Genomic DNA, 24,668 nt, shown 5'->3' with positions numbered 1-24,668 from the left:
AAAAAATATTTCTCAAACTTCTTTCACAAGACACTAATGTCACTATGAGTTTTACCTAAATTCAGATACATAAACAAGTTATTTTCTTGGCCAAATAAGTTGGGGAAGATTGTATATTATGCCCTAATCTTAACAATTATTGACAATGTAGTAGATGTATAGAATACAAAATTTAAGGAAGCAGCTGCTGTCAGCTTAATGCAAGCGGCAACCCTGCACTTGTAATACCCTAAGAATGACTGCTTCCTTAAATTTTGTGCCCTTGGTGGCTGGTTTACCTCCTCCTAGTAATAGGCATTGCACATTGTCATTTCAAAGGCTCTCAGAGTTTCTGCAATAGCAAAAACGGTTTAACTTCTATCATCTCAGGGTAATCCAAATGTATTTGAGGATCTGGCCCTTTTTAATTTTTCATTAATACCTATTAACCTCCCATAGTACTGATGCTCTTTGAAATGAACTTTTAAAATGCTTTGCCACTATATGGATTAATACATTTCGATGTGTGCTTTTTCAAAAATGATAACCTTTATGTGGGAGATGGATTTAGATAGAAACTTGGGTCCATTTATCAAAAACTACCTTTGAAAATACGTTGAATGTTATGATAGCCAGAAGAAATTTCTAATTAGGTTCTAATAATGTTGCTGGCCTCTCAAAGTAGTTATAGATGAGACCACTTTAAAAGGAGGGCCATTTCCATCAGTGAATGGATGGGTTTACACTTCCAGGTAAAGAAGATCTGTTTTATCTCTCCAAAGACAAATAAATCTATTGGTCTGTCCAATGATGGGATGAAATGAGAAGAAAAGTTCAATTACTTGGGAAATAAGCCTGGTGGGATAGGTCAGTGGCCCTGCTTAACACTGCCAAAATCTCAGCTCTCTGCTTGTCCATCTTGCAAATGTGTGTCTGACTCCATCTCGGTGGAAGGAATAGGATGTCTTCCTGGCTGACTCAAAGAACCAAGTCATTTTATCTCCCAGGAAAGTGATCCACCCAAAAGTCTGTCTGTCATAATTATTGTTTAGAGGAGGAGAATTGCTTCTCTTTGACAAACAGAGTTTCAGTGGTAGCAATGTTAGGCTAACAGCTTAGTACAAATTTTTGGTTTTCTTGTTTCATCGAGGAACTTCCAAGCTGTTTTTCTCACACTAGATAACTAAGCATCATAACTCAGTGAGGGAAAGATTGGCCAGAAATGGCTGAATCTATGCAGAAAGGCTAAGTGATGTAGAAAATAAGCTTCTGGGAACTGAAATAAATCACGTCACAAATAACTAAACAAAATTTCAGGAAAAAAGAGAAATATTGTATTATCTTAAACTTGGTTTCCAGACATTTAGAGGGTGGCTGGAGTAAGTCTACATAAGGTCCCAGCCAGCAGCCAATTCTGCAGTGAGGAGAACCCAGGATCCAGACCCAGGTCAGATATGATGGTTGCCCAGTGGAGCCAAGACTGAGAGAATCCCAAGGATTGGCAAGGCCCTAAAATGTCCTGATGATTTTGTGCCCAAGGATAAACTAGACATTCAGCCCAAGTAATCCAAAGAAATGTCGTGGACACTAGACCAGAGCAGGGACCATGACGAATAGTAGTGATAAAACGGAGGGTCCAGAACCACGTGTGTGAATCTGGCTAGATGTCTGAGTGTCTTTTCATTATCTGAGGGTGGTCAGTCCAATCTACTATAAACACCCAGAATTGGCTTGGACATAGCAGTAGCAAAACTATTTTGTGTGGATCATTCATGTATGATTGGTTAGGAGTAGCTAATTTCTCCATGCTTTTGGGATCTGTATTGTTCTCTTATTCTAAAACAAAATTTCAAGTCCTGAACACCTATGGTGGTTGCATTAGGCAATAATTAAGAGAAGCAAGTAAATGAGTTAGAAATACATAGTAATCAAGTTTCCTGGCTGTGCCAAGACTTCCTCCTGTCTGTCAGTAAATCCCACATTGCCCATTTGTGGTTTGCAGACTGATTAAGCTATACAAATGGAATCATCTGTTCTTTTCTGGTCTTCAAGCGCCTTTTCCTCCTCAGGGATCCAACGGAAGGTTGCCTCCAGGCATCAAATCACAGCAATCAATAAACCACCATGAGTAGCATGGCTCATTTAGAAACAGAGACACAGGCATTTTGCTAGAAGAAACAATGATTACCTGTCATGGGTTCAGAGACTTATGGTACTTATTAGAAGTCAAAGAATGTGAGACTTTTCATGGCCAAATATTAAACTATTCCTTGGCCCTCAAACCTGTTCTTACTGTGATTCACATGTAGGTGAATGGTATGTTCAATGACGTTAACCAAAAGTTTGGGGAGTAATCTTTAATTTCTTCTTCCTCCTTTTCTTCTCCCTCAACTCCAACATCTACATAGATATTGAGACTTATAGTTTTTTCTTCCTTAATATCTTTATAATCTTTCCAGTGTCACAGATTTACTTCAAACTCTCATTGGACTTCTATTTCCCTTCCCACTTCATTCATTCGCTACTTAACAGCCTGAGTGGTATTTCTAAATTGCTACTCTGATCATGTCATTTCTCTGTTTAAAATATTTCACACTGAATTGCCTGCAGAACAAATATGAGTCCATAATGAATGACTCTGACCAAATAATTCTATGGAATGCTCTAGGGCTTAGTAAATGCTGGGGTGGATTGACTTTATAAAAATAGTGAAATACATAGATTATAAGATGGGAACAATACACACTGGAGACTACTAGAGAGAGAGAAGGAAGAGGGTAAGGGCTGAAAAACTACTCATTAGGTACAATGCTCACTACCTGGACCACAGAATCATTCATACCCCATGTAACAAAGCTGCACCTAAAATAAAAGTTAAAATTATTAAATAAATAAATAAATAAAATAGCATTCTGTCTCAGCTTTCATATAATCAGTGCACAGAAAGTTACATAAAACATAGCAGACACTCAAAAACTATTCATTCAAAGAAGAATAAATGAGCCATGCAAGAGAATAAGATTTAAATTCTAACTTCATCCCTTTCTAGCTTAATAATCTCAATAAAGTTACCTAGCATTCCTGGGCTTCAGTGTCCTTCAAAATGTGGTTACCAACACTGGTAGGATTAAATGAGATGTACTTAGAGGACTTAGCCAATGACTTAGTGGCACACAGAAATAATTTAAACGCAGTCTGTATTAGCAGCAAATAGGTTAACATGACAAAAGGTATGTACTTCTTAGGCGTCACCTATACAGGGTACTTTACAAGAAAATTGGGGAGTTGTGACCTCTGACTGCCAAGACTTGGAACCCACATTGCACATATCACCCCTGTATTAGTCAGGATTCTCTAGAGGGACAGAACTAATAGACTAGATATATATATATAAAGGGGAGTTTATTAAGTATTAACTCACCCAATCACAAGGTCCCACAACAGCCATCTGCAGGCTGAGGAGCAAGGAGAGCCAGTCCGAGTTCCAAAACTGAAGAACATGGAGTCCGATGTTCGAGGGCAGGAAGGATTCAACATGGGAGAAAGATGTAGGCTGGAATGCTAGGCCAGTCTCTCTTTTCATGTTTTCCTGTCTGCTTTATATTTGCTGGCAGCTGATTAGATGGTGCCCACCCAGACTAAGGGTGGGTCTGCCTTTCCCAGCCCACTGACTCAAATGTTAATCTCCTTTAGCAACACTCTCACAGATACACCCAGGATTAATACTTTGTATCCTTCAGCCCAATCAAGTTGACACTCAGTATTAACCATCACAACCCCTAATCAGTCAATCAAAAGGCATTTACTCAGGTCTCATCATGCAACTGGAATTCATGTTTTTCAATAAGGTTAGGAAATCTTTCCTCCATATCAAATGAGGATTTTGCAATTTTAAAAGTTTAGTTTGATGTTCCAGTGGAAAGATCAACATCTGTTGGAGTTAGAGCTATATTAAGTAGAAATTAATGATTTTAGAGTTTGCCTTCTAAAATCCCTCTCTGTTAGAATTGTCTTTAGTGAGCCATTATCATCTAGAATGGATCCAGTGACATAGAACAGAAATCTGGAAGTGTGGGGCTCTATTAATAAGAAGTATGATGCAATTACTCTTCCAAAGTTGATCAAGTGTGATCCCACTGATAGATGGAATGACACCAGTAAAGAAAAGGTAAATCCTTAGATTTCTAAATCATTTTAAGAATAGGACAAGAATTTAAGGAATATTAAGTCCAGTTCTTTCTCCAGGTAAGACAGCCTTTAGCCCCTGGAAAATGAAGAATCCTATCTTAAAAAGGTAATGGCCATTCTCTGACCAATGCTTCTTCAACTGAGGACTATGCAGAACAATTGTTTTTGTAAATCTTGATTGGATTTGAAAGGAAAATCTTTTCAGAATGCTGAGACTCTTTCTTCAAAATGCCTGTCTCCTCATGGTGTCTCTCCAATGTGAGATGTGGACAGATTTCTGTTTTGTTTCACAGCACATATGGCAGATACTGTGTCTCAGCCTCTTGAGCTCTGGAACTAGCACAGCCTTTCTGTCTTATAACCCTGGGGTTGTAAGGTTATGAAGTTACAAATTATGTACCTAACCTAAATTCTAAATAAAATATGGATTTCTATATCACTTCCTACTGATACTCTAAAACATTTGAAGAGATTTATTACTTACTTAGCATTTGTGAAAAGTGCTCCAAGATTCTTGCATAAAAAATCCATCACATTTTGCTTTTGTTCACTCACTCATTCATCCAAGCAACACTTATTGAGTCCCTATTAGGTGCCCACTTTAATTTTTCATTTTTTCCAAGTATAATTAATGTCTATTTTTACCACTAGACTGTAAGATTTATATAGAGATTAGTCCATCTATCTTCCCATCTTTATTGCTGTTTAAATTGCACTTATGTATCTTTTTTGCTGTTCTTCTATATACTGCACATATATCATTTCCCAACACAGTGTGGGTACTCAATAAAGACTTGATAATGAGTGAAAATAAACCATCAAATAAGATTGCTTCCTGCTATGAAACAGATCCAACTCATCCAAAGTAGGTCTAGAAAATACAGACAGGTGGAGATATAAGTCATAGAGACAGAGAGTCCTAAACCCAAAAAAATTGTAAAGGAGAGATACTTATAATTTCAGAACTTTTTATAGCAGTGCTTCATCAGATGTTAAAAGTAGTATGCATCATACCTCAACAGCCAACTGGTCTATTCTGCCTTATTGAGTATCTATGCATTAACTAGGAATTGTGTTCATATTTGCAATTCACATAATAAAGTTTCCTGAATCCAACCACCCATCAGTCCCCAAATAAAATAACTGGTTCTCACATAGATATTACACCTGTAAATTTGGTAGAAGAGAGTGGTACAGGTTGAACCAGTGCAGAATGACTTTGATAATGAAGACAGAGTTCTCATTGAAAGCCTGGGGCATAAATCACTGTCAAAGCCTGTCTCTTTACTCTGTCCACACAACCATGGGAGTTTCAGTCCTCCTAAGGAGTAGTGAGGTGTGAAGTTAAAAGGTTTGGACAAGCATTTGGGAGCCTCTGAGGCTTATCTGAGCTAACCAAGCCTCCCAAAGCCATAAATCTCCAATGAAAGCTTCCAAGAGTGACATATTTCTTGTGGAATGTCCCCTAGCTTGGCTGCAATCCAGAAGAGCAGGGATGTGTGAACTGACAAGATAAAGCCAACATACCCATTGCCCTTCCATCTCCTCCTGGGCATTTCTTAGTCTGGCTTTTGTGAGTGTAGTAACATTTTAGGACTGTATTTGCCTACTTACAGCAATACTGCATTGAATTATCTTAAGGAAACAGGATGGCCCTTGATTGTTGTTTTCTCTCTATGGATGGGTTTTCTGTTGTTGTTGTTGCTGTTGAATTGAAGAACACAGTGGGAGCCAGGACATAATTGCTACCATAGTCACAAACCACAGACTCCTGGGTATTCTGTGTAGTGTTTCTGAATATGTCCAGAGACCACATGCATCCAAATTAGCAAGTTGCTTGCTTCAAAGGCAGATTCTTGTAACCCACTCCAGACAAGTTAATCAGAATCTCTGGAGGTAAGTCCTGGAAATCTGAAATTTAACAACTCTTCTTAGGTGTACTAAATTCTTAGACATAAAAACTTTTTATTGTGGTTCCTCCAATGCAAATTAGTGTTTTAACAGATGAGGACTGAGACCCAGAGGAATAGAATGATCTGCCCAACGTCTCACAGCTGGTACACTGGGACCCAAATCTGTGCCTTCCCAGGTCTGTCCTTGATTCTCTACAACATCCCCCGCATCTCCTAGGGCATTCACCAAAGCATAGCACGAGTCCTATAGAGAAGTGCTTTGAGATACTTGCACCATCTCTGGGGCATGTAATCTGAGGGAAGAAGAGAGCCTTAACTGGACAGATTACATTCCAATTCTGTGCAGGCTATCATGTAAACAAGAGAGTAGAGAAAGTATCTCTACACCATCCGGTTGTCCCTTCAGGCTCCCAGCAAATTTTCCTGCTCTACCTGTCCTTACCTTATGCTTAGAAGAGGGTCTGGTATTAGTAATTTGTTCTTCTGTATAAATAAGATAAAGAAATGTTATACTTGCATATGTTGTTTACCAGGTACTACCAGGTTTTTATTTGCTCTTGGAAGCCTTCCCTGACTATCTGCAGTGAACACTCCCAGACAACCCTTGGTGCAACCTCCATTTTTGCCACCTCCACTGCATCACTATTATTTATTTGCACGTCCATCACCTGCACTATATCATCAGCATCTTGAGGGATGAAACTGTCTTGCATTTTTATATTCTCTTTGCCAGCTCAATTCCTAGTCTATTGTAGTTGATAAAAAAACGTGTGTGTGTATATGTGTGCTTGTGCATATAATAAATCCTTGCAATGACCTGGCAAATAGAACAAAAAGTAATTCCCACCATAGAGATGAATGAACTGGGTAGCCAAAGGCAAAGTGATATGAGGATGATTACCTAGTTGTCCAGTGAAACAGAGGAGATTTGAATTGAATTCTGAATGACCCCGAGAATGCTGCTGTTTCCACCATACCAGAGCACTACCAAGTTCCCTTTCACCATCAAAGTGTTCTCTCTCCTGAAGGTAGTGACTTCTTTAACCAATTCTCTGATTTTGGAAAAGGAAGTTTTGCCCCATTAATGAAAATGTAGTGCATTAATTAAAATGCAGAATGTAAACTGAGAACTGATTTAGAAGAAAAAGAAAAAGTAGCAAAGTCCACAGCCAGAGAGTCTAGAATCAGATAGAGAGCAAGATATAAGGAGCACATAGAGGTAAATGGTGCGACAAAGTCTGTAAAAGAAGTTTATGCTTTGAGATGCCCCTTCTACTAAATAATATGGTCTGAGTTTCAGGATTAGAGGAAGCCTTATTAGTCTGGACACATGCTGCTAATAAGGAAGGTGGTATAACCCCAAGACAGCACAGAGCACTCCACACAGATGTTATGCCCTAGATGCTCCACGTTTCCTCTCGAGGCGGGGTCAGAGTGGGAGAATAGGCTAGGCAGGGAAAATGAGTGGCGGATGACTGTGCACAAACTCATTTATGAGGCCTGTAGCTGGTGGTATGCCCAATATTTATAATAGATCTTAAAACAAAGACTGGTGGAAAGACCTGCATTTTACTTGGTCTTGCTCCATCAAGCAAAGCAGACTTCTGATTCCCCTCCCCTTTTAAAGTTAACCCTTCAATCATTTCCTTGCAAGTTTCAAACAGGTCTTTGGACACATTCATCTACAGGTCACTTGGCTACTTCATGGCATGGATCATGCCATACCCTTCTCCTATGTATCATCTCCTGTTTGTACTACCCTTGAGGCTAATAATAGCTAAGGGCCCTTCTTCACTGTCATTGTATTAGAAGCTCACATGAAGCATTAACCCATAAACCAGGGAGAGTCATGTTACATGGATCCCAAAAATTCCAGCACCATTTCCTCTCTTTGCTGTTGCCTTGGTGCATGGATACCTTAGTGTGTGAATATCAATGCCATCTATGGCTGCTGGACATCCCAGATGCTGGTACTTCTACCATCCTTTCACCCTCAGCCCCCAAGAAACAACCCAACTGCATAGAGATATAGATCAACCCTCAGGATGCCCAAAACTGGATTCCTGGGGCTCTTGTTTCATCAAAATCACTTCCTCTGTTCTCTTGACCCATGTCATTATATTCCTTGCTGTTTGGGGAAAAGACACTCTTTAAAGCTGGCTTTGTATTTATAGCCACCTCCCTAGAACTGAGACATGAGTCTGTGGAGACAGAGCCTGGGGACAAACCTGAGTAATTGTCACCAGACTTTACTTAGCTGTGCCTCACCCCTCCAGCATCCAGTTCTTTTTTCCTGGACCCATCTTGCCAGCATACTTTCACCTCACCTTAGGTTGAGTCCATCAGAAGATACTCAGGCCCTTGTACAGACAGATTTCCACTAGTCCTGCCCACCAGTCTAGACAAGGGATGAACATGACTGAGGCCCCAGCCCAGATCACCACTTCTGGAATTACATCTATGTAATTTTGATTTAAGAAATTCTCTCCTTCATTTAGGTCCTATTTATGGCCATCTTATAGGGTCTACCCTCTGGTAGGAAGAGTTCTATTTCATTCTATTTGGCATTCTGCACTGCCAAATTCAGAAGTCCAAATCAGAGTGTTCATGTTGTAAATGAAAGGTTTTCTTTTAACTCCCATCCTAGCAGCTAGGTTGATGTCAGAGGGTTGTTGTCAAGTCTACAGTGAGAAAAAGACAATAAAATTAAGGGACAATAATCAAGGGAACTTGACCCCTCTTCCCATGTACACAACTGGCCAAAATCTACCCATATTCAAGTCACAACCTCCAAACAAGCTGAGATATATATTTGGTATTATTTTCATAGATGTTTACAGTCCTGTACAAAGCATTAAACTAATTTTGTGTCAAATGTTGTCACTGAATTTTTAAAGAAATACATCATTCCAAATACTAAATTATGGATCAAATTCTCATAAATCCCTAATAATTGGTGGACCTAATTATGATTATATGTATTTGCCTAAGAGCTCCATAAAATGATAAAGTATTGCTTGACTTCCTAAAAGCTACAGTTAGAAGACTGGTCTAGACTGAGTGGTATGAGAACACAGTTTGCTTTTTACCTTTCTGACCCAATTGGCCTTTAATTTTGATGGTCTGCATTTAAAATTCATTTTGTGAGTAAACCCAGCGAGGCTCCTCCTCCATGGACCACTTTGGGTAATTTTTTTTTGGCGGGGGGGTGGGGGGACAATTTTAAAGAGTGTCTATTATCAAAGAGAAATTTTAAAACATGTATATTTATACCATGTGGTTGGACATCGTAGAATTAGCTGGTAAAAAACAAAAGAAGGAAAAAGGAAAAAGTGCCATTGGAAAGGTACATAGCAGAAGTAAACTATGAAGCTATGTGGTATAGTGAAAAGGGCCCAGGATGTGAAGAAATAAAGCCAGATTCACGGCCTAATTCAATTCTTGCTAGCTCTGTGTTTTGGAATAAATCACCTTCAGTTGCTTTATTGTATTTCGGGATCATCATCTATAAAAAATGGAACCTCCCATCTCATGGACCTCTGGTGAGGATCACCACGAGACAATAAACAAGTGACTTTTAATTGTCAAAGGGATATAATGATACCTAACAAAAGAAAACAAAGGGAGTATTGTTCATCAGGTATTGATAGTTAACAATTTTATTGCTTTAATATAATTATCCCAGGCTTTGGAACAAAGATTGAAAAAGAGATAAAGATGCAATACCACATAACTGGAGAATTTTAGACAGGATCTCAGAGAGCATTCATTCCAATTCTCATTTCCAGACACATATTTTATAGAGTAGGAAACTGAAGTATGGAGGAGTTGAGAAGCTTGCCCAAGGTCTCACAGCATTATCCTGAGAGCTTGAAATAGAACTCAGGTCTCCTGCTGTCCAGCTCCCAGCAACCTCTACAATCCCTAAAGCTGTTTCTAGAATCCCATCTCTTCGATCCTGTGCCTACAACCCATGTCAACAACCATTAAAGCATATTATTCAGTTCAATTGCCTCCTTTAATAATTAACCAGTTTATTACAATACCTTCCCTTCCCCTTGCAGTGCAGAGACAGGGCCAAACACTCAGAGAATTGTCATAGACTCAACTCAGGGAGAAAGGCCTCTTTTGTTTGCTCATCAAACATTTATCTGAGTTCTTACTTGTGCCCCAAAACTGTGCTACCTTGATAAAAATCTCAGTGATCAGAAGTCCTTCAAGTGGTGGATATACTCACAAGCCAGTGATTACCATGTAATTAGCAATATGTTAAAGCAAATATAAATGGATTACATAGAAGCTTAGAACATGGTATGACTAAGGAGCCAGGAGAAATTTGACAGAGATTTCTACTTTACCTGGAAAAATGATAAGTTGTGACATAAAAAAATAAAAATTTTAAAGCCAAGAGAAAAAGAACATATTTCCTTTAACTGTGAGAATTGTGCACTGATCAGCAGCAGTTACGTTATGTGATGATCACAGTTTGGACAGCTGGTTTCTGCCCACCAGGAACTGAATCAGATTCAGATCATTTGAACTCTGATGTCAAAGTCAGTCATATTTTCAACACCCTGGATATTCTTTTTTTAATTATTATTATACTTTAAGTTCCGGGTTACATGTGCAGAACGTGCAGTTTTGTTACATAGGTATACACATGCTATGGTGGTTTGCTGCACCCATCAACCCATCATCTACATTAGGTATTTCTCCTAATGTTATCCCTCTCCTAGCATCCCCCCACCCCACAACAGGCCCTGATGTGTGATGTTCCCCTCCCTGTGTCCATGTGTCTTCATTGTTCAACTCCTACTTATGAGTGAGAACCTGCAGTGTTTGGTTTTCTGATCTTGGATATTCTATAACAGCAGTAGTTGGTTAACCCCTCTGTTCTTAGTTTCTTCATCTGTTCAGTAGGGATGATAATAATAATGTCTCACTGAGAGGATTACTGTGAAGATTAAATGAGTCAGAGCATGACAAATGCTTACAACAACACCTGGGACAAAGTGAGTGTTCAATAAATGTTGGCATTTTAGTATGAGAGGACCAATTGAGTGTCACTGAAAACTCGTTTCAGAATGTTACTACATGAAAACCAGGGAAGAGGTGAAGAAAGTTATATCAGTCAGAGTTCCTCCCAAGAAACAGAACAATGAGGATGTGCATATATTAAGACATTTATTGCAAGGAATTGGCTATTGTTGGGGGCTGGCTAGGCAAGTCCAAAATCTGTATATCAGGCCATCAGGAAGGGCAGACTGGAAATTTTAGGGCAGGAGCTAAAGATCCTGTCCACAGGCAGAATTTATCCTTCAGAAAAGCCTCAGTGCTGCTTTTAAGGCTTTTCAATTAATTGTATCAGGCCCATCCAGATTATTGAAAAAAATTTGCTTTACTTAATTTTTTTTTTTTTTTTTTTTTTTTTTTTTTTGAGACGGAGTCTCGCTCTGTCGCCCAGGCTGGAGTGCAGTGGCGGGATCTCGGCTCACTGCAAGCTCCGCCTCCCGGGTTCACGCCATTCTCCTGCCTCAGCCTCCCAAGTAGCTGGGACTACAGGCGCCCGCCACTACGCCCGGCTAATTTTTTGTATTTTTAGTAGAGACGGGGTTTCACCGTTTTAGCCGGGATGGTCTCGATCTCCTGACCTCGTGATCCGCCCGCCTCGGCCTCCCAAAGTGCTGGGATTACAGGCGTGAGCCACCGCGCCCGGCCGCTTTACTTAATTTTTAACAGCTTTTTTGAAATATAATTGGTGTGTAAAGAATTGCACATACTTGATGTGCACAATTTGATGACTTTTGACATACGCAGACACCTGTGATACCATCACAAGCTGATTGACATATCCAACACCTCCAAAAGTTTCCTTGCATCAATTTACTTATTTATTTGTTTGTTTGTTTGTTTGTTAGAACACTTAAAATGAGATCTACTCACTTAACAAATTGTGAAGTGCACAATACTATACTGTTCACTGTAAGCACTATGTTGTATATTACCTCTCTAGAACTTATTCATCTAACATGACTAAAACTTTATACTTATTAAACAACTCCCCAGTTCGCCACCTTCCAGCCCTTGGCAACCTCTATTGTATTCTCTGCTTCTATCAGTTTGACTATTGTACATGCTTCATTTAAGTGGAATCATGCAGTATTTGTCCTTCTATGACTGGTTTAGTTCACTTAACATAATGTTCTCCACGCTCACCCCTGATATGGTTTGGATATTCATCCCTTCCAAATCTCATGTTGAAACGTGATTCCCAATGTTGGAGATGGGGCTTGGTGGGAGGTGTTTGGGTCATAGGGGTGGAGTCTTCCTGAATAGCTTGGTGCCCTTCTTGCTGTAATGAGTGAGTTATTGCTTTGAGTTCACACAAGAGCTGGTTGTTAAAGAGTCTGGCTCCTCCTCCCTCACTCTCTCATGCTCCTACTCTCACCGTGTTACATGCTGGCTCCCCTTCACCTTGCACCATGATTGCAAGCTTCCTGAGGCCCTCACCAGAAGCAGATGGCAGCACCATGCTTTCTGTATAGCTTGCAGAACCATGAGACAACCTAAACCTCTTTTCTTTGTAAATTACCCAGGCTCAAGTATAATGATGTAAGAACACACTAACACAGTCCCTGTTGTCACAAATGGCAGTATTTCCTTCTTTTTTAAGGCTGAATAATATTTCATTGTATGTATATGCACCACATTTTCTTTATCCATTCATTCATCAATGAATATTTAAGTTATTACCATACCTCAGCTATTGTGAACAATGCTGCAATGAACCTGAGAGTGCAGACATCCTGTTCAAGATGCTGATTTCACTTCTTTTGTATTTCCACCCCAGTGTGGGATTGCTGAATCATATGGTAATTCTATTTTAAATTTTTTGAAGAACCTCCATATTGTTTTCCATAGCTGCTCCACCATTTTATATTCCCAACAACAATGTACGAAGGTTCCAATTTCTCCACATCCTCACCAATACTTGTTATCTTTTGTGTGTGTACATTTTAAAAAATAATAGCCACCTTAGCAGGTGTAAGGTGGTATCTCACTGGAGTTTGATTTGCATTTTTCTGATAATTAATGATGCCAAGCACCTTCGTATACACCTGTTGGCCATTTGTATGCCTTCTATAAGAAATGCCTATCCAAGTCTTATGTCAATTTTTTTAATTGAGTTTTTTGTTTGTTTTGCTATTAAGTTAAGTTGTAGGAGTTTCTTGTTTATTTAGACAATTAAACCTTTATGAGATACATGGTTTAGAAATATTTTATGCCATTCCATAGGTTGCCCGTTAATTCTGTTGATTATTTCCTTTCTGTGCCGAAGCTTTTTAGTTTGATGTAGTCCTACCTATCTATTTTTGCTTTTATTACCTGTGCTTTTACCATTATATCCAATAAATAATTGCCAAGACCAATGTCAAGACTTTATCCTTATGCATTCTTTCTTCTAGGAGCTTTATAGTTTCAAGTTTTATGTTTCAGTCTTTAATCCATTTTGAGCTGATTTTTGTGTGTGATATAAGGTATAGGTCTAATTTCATTTTTTATGTGAATATCCAGTTTTCCCAACACAATTTGTTGAAGAGCTATTATTTCCCCATTGTGTATTATTGACACCCTTCTCAAAGTTCAGTTGAATATATATGAATAGTTTTGGTTTTGGCCTCTCTATTCTGTTCTATTGGTCTATTTGCCTATCTTTATGCCAATAAACAATATTTTAATTATTGTAGCTTTGTAATGTATTTTAAAATCAGGAAATGTGATGCCACCAGATTTATTCTTCTTTCTCAAGATCATTTTGGCTATTCTGGGTTGACAAAATTTAATACAATTTCATGATAAAATCACTCAACAAACTAGGTATAGAAGAAATGTACCTTAATATAATAAAGACCATCTATGACAAGCTCACAGCTAACATCATACTCAATAGTAAAAAAATTAAAAGCTTCTTCTCTAAGATCAGGAAGAAGACAAGTATGCCCACTCTCATCATTTCCATTTAACATAGTCCTGGAAGGCCGGGCAGGCGTGGTGGCTCACGCCTGTAATCCCAGCACTTTAGGAGTCCGAGGCAGGCAGATTACGAGGTCAAGAGATTGAGACCATCCTGGCCAACATGGTGAAACCCCATCTCTACTAAAAAAAAATAATAATAATAATTAGCTGGGCATGGTGGTGTGCGCCTGTAGTCCCAGCTACTTGGGAGGCTGAGGCAGGAGAATCGCTTGAACCCAGGAGGCAGAGGTTGCAGTGAGCCGAGATCATGCCACTGCACTCCAGCCTGGCAAAAGAGCAGGACTCCATCAAAAACAAAACAAACAAACAAACAAACAAACCATAGTCCTGGAAATTCTAGCCAGAGCAATTAGGGAAGATAAAATAAAAGGCAAACAAATCAGAAAGAAGAAGTAAAGTTATCTCTGTTTACAAATGATATAATCCTATATGTACAAAACCCTAACGGCTTCACGAAAATAAACTATTAGATCTAATAAAGTAATTCAGGATAAAATAAAGTTGCAGGATACAAAATCAATATATAAGAATTAGTAACCTTTCTATATATTTACAATGAACCATCTGAAAAGGAAATTAAGAAAATACTTCCTTTTACAATAGCATCAAGAACAGTAAAATACTTAGGGATAGACTTAACCAAAGAGTTGAAAGGCTTCTACACTGAAAACTACAAAATACTGATGAAAGAAATCAAAGAATACACAAATAAATGGAAAGACCTTTCATGTTCATGAATTGAAAGACTTAGTGTTCAAATGTCTGTACTACAGAAGTAATCTATAGATTTGAAGTTATCTCCATTAAAATCTCAAAGGCATTTTTTACAGAAATGGAAAAAGCAATCCTAAAATTCATATGGAACCACAAAACCTTCTTTACTTTAAAGTAAACTGATTATAAAATGTTTAACCACATATATAAAATAGATGATTGTTGTTTGATTGAATAACTGGGAACTGCTAGCCAGATAGCCTTGTTGACACATGAAGCTGACCATCACAAAAAGCTAGTGTACAATAAGTTGGCATAGCACATTTCTTTTAATGGGTTCAAGGCAATCATAAAACAAGAGTAGGAGGGAGTAACCCGATCCCTCAGACCCACTTATCCATGCATTCTACAGACAGAGCTGAAGACCCCAGGGACAATGCACAGACTACTTGGCTTTGCATCCTTTTGTGTGGAAACAGTGAGCAGGTTCTTCCTCTGTACTGTTTGGTGTGCTCACTAAACCTTAGAGGATTCTAGTAGTTTACAGTTTCAATCAAAGAATGGGGATTTTACACAGAGCAGACTCATGAGACCTTGATTCTAAGTTCCTGCTTCTATTAAGAGGTAGCATGGCATAACAACAACAGTAACAAATATATATACATATATATGTGTGTGTATATACACACACATATATATGTATATCAGCTATGACATTAGACACCTGGGTTCAGATCCACTTTTGTCACTTACCAGGTGTCTAGTCAAGTCACATTCCCTCTCCAAGCCTGTAAATTGCACCTGTAAATGGCAGTTAACCTGTAAATAGTAATAATATTGTCGTGTCATGGTTATTGTAAAGAATTAAAGACCATAAACACAAATGGCCTGGGTTTATAAAAGATGCTCAGTTAAGACAAGCTATGATGCTTAACTTCCTTTATTTCAAGGATTACCTAGTGTTAGTTGTGTAGTTTCAGGAAAGTTCCTTCATCTTTCTGTGCCTCAGTTTCCTCATCTGTAAAATAAGCATACAATAAGTTGTTCTGTGGACTAAGGGAGTTAATATGTATGAAGTGCTCTGAACAATGTCTGGCACATAGTACGCACTATATACTTTTTAACTATTATAATTTGTGTTTGTGTGGTAGTGATGAAATCAAGGAGGTACGAAAACCAGATTTTAGTCCACTCTGTACTGGGTGAACTGGCAGAAGTCACTTATCTGTCATCAATTTTCTTTTCTGTAAAAGGAGGGGGTTAATTAGACTATCTGTCAAGCTTATGCATTTTTAAAGATATTATACCTAAACTGCTCTGTGAGATGTAAGAACCTGAGAAGGTTTTCTGGCTTGTGATAGTTTTGAGGTGCTATGCTCTCACAGATGTGTCAAGGCCTTCTTATTGATTCACACCAAGGACTCTGCCTCTGTCTCAGTTTTTCTGCAGGGTGGTTGATCTGTTTACTTTTCACCAAGATGCGTTCCTCTGTCAGCTGCATCAGAGCTGTCATAAGCCAGCTTCATGCCAGGGAGAGAAGGAAAGACAGTGTTTTTATTGGTCTGTTTCACTGTGTCTTTCTTCCTTTGGGATCCCTTCTCAGAAAGGTCAAAATAAAATTCTGCAACTGCCCTGATGAGGAATGCTAGCTGATTGAAGAAAGAGACCCCTGTAAGCAGCACTGCCTGCTGCTGAGAGGCCCCTGATGGAGTTCTGCCAAGCCTGACTCATCCTCCAGCTCAGGGAGGCCTGCTGGTCACTCCCTTTCTGCCCCAGCCAGAGAGCACATTGCAAACATCTTAAAGACTTGAGGTTGGCAGCTTAAGGGGGAACAGTAATTCACCAAAGCATGATGGAAAATCTAATGGAGGGCAATGAAGGGGTGAATGGGATGTGTGCCCTGTCCCCTAAAGAAGGGAACTCCTGCTCTTTCCCATTTCAGGGTAGTGTTAAAAAAAAGTTGCTCCCACTTCTTTTCTTCTATTTGCTTCTGCCTCCTTTGCCTTTTTATTTGCTCCTTCCAAAGGTAAAAGACTAAGTATCTGATGTCAGATGCAGGCATTCAGTGAGCTGTACTTACTATCAGGCAAAGTTATGAGCCTCAAATACAAGGGCCCAGAAACCACTCTTCTTCCTCTTTCTATGTCTAAGCCCAGCAAGATTTCTTCTGCTCCTTTCTCCAGGTAAGGAGTGTGTGAATGCCAGGGTCAATAAGGAGGGGCTGGCACAAAGAGAGAAAAATATCTGATTGTAACAGCAGATCAATTCAGTGTTCTACAATGTGATGATCACAGTGCACATCCTGAGTGATTTTCCAAATTACTGAATCATTTACTTGTTCCACTGTTCATTGAAAAATGAGGTAGAACTTCATCCTACCTTGAATTAAAGGGCTTCCCATCACTCCTGTCAAAGCTACATTGCATTGCATAGCATTTCAAGCAGAATGAGCTAAGCCTTTCATTGACTTCATTTTGTATCCTTTGTGACTAGAACTAATCTTAGCATTTCTGAATTAGAAGAAAGTTTAAAAACATCCCACCAAATTTTCCATAACTGTCTGCTTGACTTTACTACATTTTTTGCATGTGGTCCTGCAGTTTCTGCTTGAACATTTCCAGCAATAAAACACTTTTTAACAAACAGATTCCTTTGTTTGGTACAGGTTTATTGGAAAATACTTCCTTTGTTATTTCTTTGTAACCTCTTAAAATTCTGTTTTTCCTACTTTTGGAATCAGAAAAAAATAAATTGTAATGCCTATTCCTACGATAGTACTTTAAGTACTTGGATGGTTCTTAGACTAAGTTATGCTGCAGTAATCTCAGTGGCTGAAAATAACAAAGGTTTATTTCCTACCCACACATAGGTCATCTGAGAGTTCTGTACTACCCTCACTTAGGGACTCAGGTTGGCAGAACAGCCATGGTATTTCCGTGGAGCTCCACTGCTCCACAGTATTTCTGTAGAGTTCCACCCCTAGATTTACCTGTCAAGCTGTCTCTCCACAGTCCTGCTCCCCATTCAGTTCTTGGTCATTGCAGTGGGCCATCTCATGCTGCTCTCTGGTCTGCTTTGTCCCCACAACATGGACACAGCCCCTCTCCTTTATTCTCCAAGTCACCATCAGCATAATGATGTTATGGGTAGCAGATTTGCTGGAGTCTTGGGGTTAATGGAAGAAGGGCAAATTGGGAGAGGGGAATGGAAGGGTGACGTATATAAATAATCTCACCTTGAAAATTAGACATCATAGTTTCCAAAATTCCTTGCCTGTCTCTCCCCTCCTCCCACCCCAAACTTGGGTCCATCTTCAGCCCTCTGAGGAAACCCACCCTAATTTCTTCTCAATTCTCATGTCTTGGTCCCACCTCTGTGTCTCTAGTTGTTATCAAAGAGAAAATTCAACTTGACCATTACCTTTTTCAGCAGAGAAATGTAGCTCCTTTTGTCTTAATCTCTTCCATTCTTATTTATTCTAATGAATTCTCCTTCCTAACCAAAGGGCTTCTTAATATTTCTTAGGCAAAATAATTATCTGCCAAATCCTCCATATTTAAAGAGATAGCAGAAGCTGAGAAATTAGTTTTTCTTGATGTCTTAAAAAGGTCATTGCAAATGTTTTTCATTCCTACCGACCCCATTTTAGAGAAACTTTCAAAGACTGTAAGTGTGAGGGTTAATATTAGGGGTCAACCTGATTGGATTGAAGGATGCCTAGGCAGCTGGAAAAGTCTTGTTTCTGGGTATGTCTCTGAGGGTATTGCCAGAGGAGACTGCCATTTGAGTCAGTGGACTGAGAGAGGAAGACTCACCCTCAACATGGGTGGGCACTATCCAATCGGCTGCTAGCACGGCTAGAACAAAGCAGGTGGAAGAAGGTGTTATAACCTTGCTTGCCTGCCGAGTCTTCTGATTTCCTTCTTTTTCCTAAGCCAGATGCTTCCTTCCACTCTTTCTGCCCTTGGACATCAGAATCCAGATTCTTTGGCCTTTGGACTCTAGGACTTGCATCAGTGGCTTCCTGGGGGCTCTCAGACCTTCAGCCACAGACTGAAGCCTGCACTGTGAGTTTCCCGGGTTTTGAGGCTTTTAGACTTGAACTGAGCCACTACTGGCTTCCCAGCTTGCAGATGGCCTAACACGATGGGACTTTGCCTTGTAATTGTGCGAGCCAATTCTCCCCAATAAACATCCTTTCATATATACATATATCCTATTAGTTCTGTCCCTCTGGAGAACCGTGACTAATACAGTAAGCATGGATCATAAACGGTGAATTTGGAAGTACTGAGGGAGTCAGATCATGAAAGACCTTGGAAGACCTGCTAGCCTATATACATTTTGATTTTAAGCAGGGAATTAACATAATTAGTGGGTTATAAGGGGGATAGGAGTACAAGTGAGACAAGGAGACAAGCTGGGAGACTGTTGTAGTAATGCAGATGAGAAGGAGCAGTAGGAATAGACAGAAGTGCTGGAGTCAAGCCATAGTTAGGAGACAGAATGGAGAGGACCTGATGTGGGAGGGTGAGTGGAAAGAGGAATATCAGGAATGATGCCCAGTTTTCTGTTTGTAGTAACTGAATGAGTGTTGATGCAATTCACTGTGACAGAAAATAAATGAGTAGGAATAAATTTAGGGGGAAACAATGTTTCATTTTAGACAGATCATATTATAGATCTATGAGGCATCCTGCAGGATCTGGGAACAGATTACCAAGTCAGATTTTTCAGGCAAGACCGGCCAGTGGGATCTGCGCCCTGAAGAAGAACTAAGCTGCCTCTTAGATCCCCAATATTCCAAGGAAAACCTCTGAGCAAAAGGTCCCCTTTGCTGCCTTGATCTTATTTGAGGTCTGAGCTTCTTTCCTGCAAATCTTTGGCTTAAGATGTAGCAATGATATCTAAAGTGCTGAAGACTCCAATCCAGTCTCCACCCTGGGAGTACGTGGAGACCTCCTCTTCACTTAGATGTGTGACCAAGCACAGGGATTGCTGCTGATTCAGTCTAGTCACTCTAAAAAGTATCACTCGAGAGCTGAATATTTAGCCCTTTTGTTAGAAGTGAATGGTTGCATCTTGTGTGTGATGGGTGCATAATATTTACCAGTGTGGTAAATATCTGGTATTGTCTGTGCACTATTTTCCAACCATTTTTCACATAGGTACGTTTAAAGATTTTTTGCCTTCCTAATAATTTTTGTTGTCATTGCTATTTTGCCTTCAGAAAAAAAAATAGAAAAAGAAAAATGTGATTAATATGGCCCCATTCAAATCATGAAGCAGGAGCTGCCATTGTGAAAGCTATATAGATGGACTCAGGCACCTAATGCCAATGTAAACCAGGGAGGCTACCTGCTATGCCTAAAAGAGTACTGGAATTGGAAGCAGGGCACCTGCCTTCAAGTCCCAGGTTTTCATTCACTAGAAGGTCCCTTTGGCAAGTCACTTATCTCCCTTGGGTCTTACTGGCCTTATCTGAAAAATGGGCAGATCATTGTAGTCACTGCTGCATCACAGGGCCATTTGCAGATTACAAAAAGTCCAAGTAAAGGGCTATAGAAACCAGAATTACATCCCATATGCTCCAATCTTAGACTCCCAGGCTTTGGTTCCAGACCAAACATCTTTCATCTACTCTTTCTCCTAAAGTTAACATTGCCTTCAGCTGCTGTGGCTACATTCTTAATTTTTTAAGAAAGATCATTGTTTTCTCTTACAGTGCATAGTATGGGACTGGGACTCCAATGGCAAGCATGACTTCATTGGAGAATTCACCTCGACATTCAAGGAGATGAGAGGAGCAATGGAAGGGAAACAGGTACATGGTCAACCACTTTTGGTTTTGCCTCCAGTCGGTATGATGCATCCTTAGAACACAGCTACCAATGAAACAGCAAGAGGCAAAACATCAATGTATGATTAAGTGTGATAAGAAGGGAGCATGGTAGGATGTGAGTATCTAGATTCTAGAACTAGCCCAACCCAAAGCAATTGTGTGTGCTTGGACAAGACACTGACCCCAAACGTTACAGTTTCTCCATTAGTAAAACAGAAAGGTTAGATGAGAGTATTTCTAACTTCCTTTACCTGTGTAGCCCTGAAAAGTGACTTAATCTCTCCATGCCTCATTTTGCTCATCTAAAAATATAAGAGTGATAATTGTACCTACCTCATAGAATTTTGTGAAGATTAAATGAGACAATCCTAGGTGATAGCAGAGCGCCTAGCACATAGCTAGCATTTCCAAAATATCTGCTATTAACAGTAGTATTCCTTCTAGGTCTATATTTCCATGATTTGGTGACATTAATAATACTTTCATGCCTTGGAGAAATTATTTGAATCCTCCAAATTTTCATATAGGTACCAGGTTTTCTTCTAGTTCCATCATTTTACTCTTACACATTTGATGCCAAGACCTGTACACAAGCACTACCACATACCACTAAGACACACTGTCCCACACAGAAACCCAAACCCCTTCTGTGTTTCCCTCAGATACACACACTTTCATATCATATAATATCTAGACAGACAGACAGACAGACAGACAGACAGACAGACAGACAGACAGATAGAGATAGAAAGTCATCTGGGCCCAAATCATGCAACTTCTCCTTTTACCTGTTTATTGTTCACCTGCCCAATTTCCAGCTGAAATACCTCTTTGCCTGGCAGATTTCTCTATCTGCTGGAGCCTGTTTTATCCATGCCCAAAAGCAAGATAGAAGTGTGGAAGGAGATGTAACAGGAGGTAGCCCTCAACAAATAACTAATGGAAGTTGGGATATAAATACCCCAGCTCCCTTGCCCTTCAGTTGGCAAAACTCTGAGGTGTATGCTCTATACAGTTTCCCAGAGTTCTCCAGCAGGCCCTAGTTATCCACAGTGGTAACTGACTTGATAATGCACCCTTTCTGGGATGCCTCTTCTATCTAATTTCTCACTCCTCTATTCATGCTTCCTGGTATCACCTCCCAGATGGCCTACTTGCACTTATATTCTTGCCTCAAATTTGCTTCTTGGGGAACTCAACCCAAGACACCTGCCGTTCTTACTCTGGAGTTCACTGTCCTCATGGAGCAGAAAGGAGTGAAAGCAGAGGGCTCAGTGCTTTTGAGAAAGTCTTTTTCTTTAGAGATAATACTCTGTGCCTGTTCTGATCAGAAGTGCTAATTAGAGATGCCTCAACTCATTTTTCAGCTCTCTCATATGTAAGGTCAGGATACAGTCAGACTGGATGGAAATGAACTAACATTTTTTTAGAGTCAGAAACTTAATCTGAATGATACCATTTGTTGAACACATACCTTTGGTCTGGAAACTCAATGGAAACAATGGCAGCTTTCCACTTAGTTCCTGCAAAACCTGCTGTAAATGCTCTGTTAGGTACTCAGCATTACAAGAAACTTGTCAAACACCCAGAGACCATCACCCACAAGCCAGGATGCAGAGTTTCAGAGCCACAGTTAAAACCAACACTAAATTATAAGCAAAGTCATTCCCAAGATAACAAGGAATATAGCTAGAGAATATTGCTCTATTGAATATGCAGAACTAGTCCTATTTAGCTGCTAAATCAATGATAGCATTCATACCACCTGCTAGAGTTCTAAAAAGTTTTATAAAGTTTTGCCTTATCCACTTCTATGAATAGAAATAGTCCAAGCAGTAAATATGGGAAATATTTCATCTTATTAATTAAATATTAAAAGTAAGAATGTAACACATATCATAAATGAAATATACCAAAACCTAATGCTTTCAAACAGAGAGAAATCGTTTAAGTTCCACTGAGGAAATGGACCATATGCTAATGTGCTTTTCTGAATCACTGAGCTACCAGAAAAACTTTAGTTTAACTACCCAGCCACTGTTTTGGTGTAGTTATACAGTGGGAAATATTGTCTTATTTATTGTTTCTACAATATTTATCGAGTAGCACCTAGTAAATTCCAAGCACTGTGACAGGCTCTAAATGCACCATGACTAACAATGCTGACATGGTCCCTGCCCTTCTGAAGCTTACAGATTGGTGGGAGTCAGGATAGAATGTAAACACAAATTTAAAAAGTTAAAATGCAACTACAATTTGTGACAAATGCTATTACAAAACTAAACCAGTTTCATTATAAAAGTGTGCATATAGAAAAGATAATCTGACATTTAAGTTGAGGCCCCTTAATGATTAAAAAGAAGCCAATATGTAATGAGTGAGAGAAACGCATTTGAAGTAAAAGGAATAGTAGTGCAAAGTACAGAGGCAGGGCTGAGCTTGGTGTGATTGAGGACCTGGAAAAAGACCAGTGTATCTGAAGCAGAGAGTGAAAGAACCATTCATAGGATGTGGTCAGATATAGAGGCAGAGGCCAGGAAAAGCAGATTCTTCTAAATGTGATAAGAGCATGTGCAAGCTGTGCTTTCCTATACATTAGCCACTAGCTACATGTGGCTATTTAAATTTAAATTAATTAAAATAAAATTAAATAACAAGTTAAGTTCCTCAGTCATGCTAGCCACATTTCAAATACTCAATAGTCTCATGTGGCTGGTGGCTACTATATTTGATAGTGCAGATTCAGAATATTCCAATTATTGAGAAAATTCTACTGGACAGTGCTGCAAAGTGTTCTAGCTAGAGAATGACATGATTGGTTTTAATTTTTTAAAATATTACTTTTGCTACTGTGTAGATAATTAAAGAGAGACAAGGGAGATCTGTTAGGAGGCTACCACTATAGATAAGAGGTGATAATGACTTGGGTTAAGGAACTAGTCATAGAGATAGATAAATTGGAGAGACTTAAGACATATTTTGGAGATATGAGCTACAAGGTTTGTTGAAGGCTTGGATATAGGGAGTAAGGGAAGGAGGAAATGGTTGACTCAAGGATAGATTATTAAATTGTGCCATTTCCTGAGGTAAGGAAGAATTGTGGTAGCGAGGTCCAGTTTATGAGGAAGTTTTCAAAATTTGGTTTCAAAAACTGGTACTCAGAGGAGAGGTTTACCCGTAAATATATTTTAGGAGCCATCAACTAAGAGAGGACATTTAAAATCAAGAGAATGGATGAGTACACCTAGGGAGAGGGGACTGAAGAGAAGGTACAGGAGGCTCGAACCCTGAGGAATCTCAGTATGTAGCATCAGAGAAAAAAAGAGGAGAGAACATCTTTCAACTTTCCTTTTCCTGTGGGAGTTATGATTCTATAGGTACAGGGTAAATTCTTAATTAACCTTGATTAATTCTTGAATAACATTTATAAGTATCCTTAGTTTGGGGTGGCCAAAGGGGATACTTGCAAGAATAGGAGAGCTACTCCAAGACCTTCTAGAAGAAGGCATTGTGGTTAATAGTGCAGGCTTTGGAATGAGACTGATGTGGGTGTGAATCCCAGGTCTACCAGTTACTACCTGTATGACCTGGGAAAGTTCTTTCTCTTCTCTGAGCCTCATCTTCCATCTGTCAAAGTGGGCTGTGGGGAGAGTTAAATGGGATTGGGAAAGTAAAGTGCATAGCCCATAGTTATATGCCAACTTCATCCCAAGACAGATGCAAACTATTTAGATCTGGTCCATCAGGACCCCCTACCCACCTCACAAGTACAAGGACCCCAAGTATCTACGGGTTTGATTCAACTTCCTTGGAGCCCTCTCCTGACTAAGCCAACCCATACTTGCTCATCTTAGCCTGAGAAGGAAGTGAGTAGACTTTTCATGGATGATCACTATAATTTTTAATAGAATTCAAAATCTTTAACTCAATATATCCTGCTTGATAGAAGAAATTGAGATTAATAGAAATCATTGAGAATGACAAAAAATGGCACA

The 24,668-nt window shown here is 39.4% G+C and overlaps 1 protein-coding gene across 10 annotated transcripts in view; it reads left to right on the top strand.

The window, feature by feature from the left end:
- Window positions 1-24,668, top strand: part of CPNE4 (copine 4) — a 506,038-nt gene that overhangs the window by 431,468 nt on the left and 49,902 nt on the right. For all 10 annotated transcript variants that reach the window (NM_153429.2, NM_001388326.1, NM_001289112.2 and 7 more), the window contains one exon: window positions 20,557-20,655. In NM_153429.2, the coding sequence (NP_702907.1) occupies window positions 20,557-20,655 (99 nt within the window). The remainder of the gene's footprint in view (window positions 1-20,556; window positions 20,656-24,668) is intronic.

This window comes from Homo sapiens, chromosome 3 (genome assembly GCF_000001405.40).
Source record: "Homo sapiens chromosome 3, GRCh38.p14 Primary Assembly".
Lineage (NCBI taxonomy): Eukaryota > Metazoa > Chordata > Mammalia > Primates > Hominidae > Homo > Homo sapiens.
Note: the sequence above shows the minus strand (reverse complement) of the source record. Positions and strands in the feature narration are given on the sequence as shown.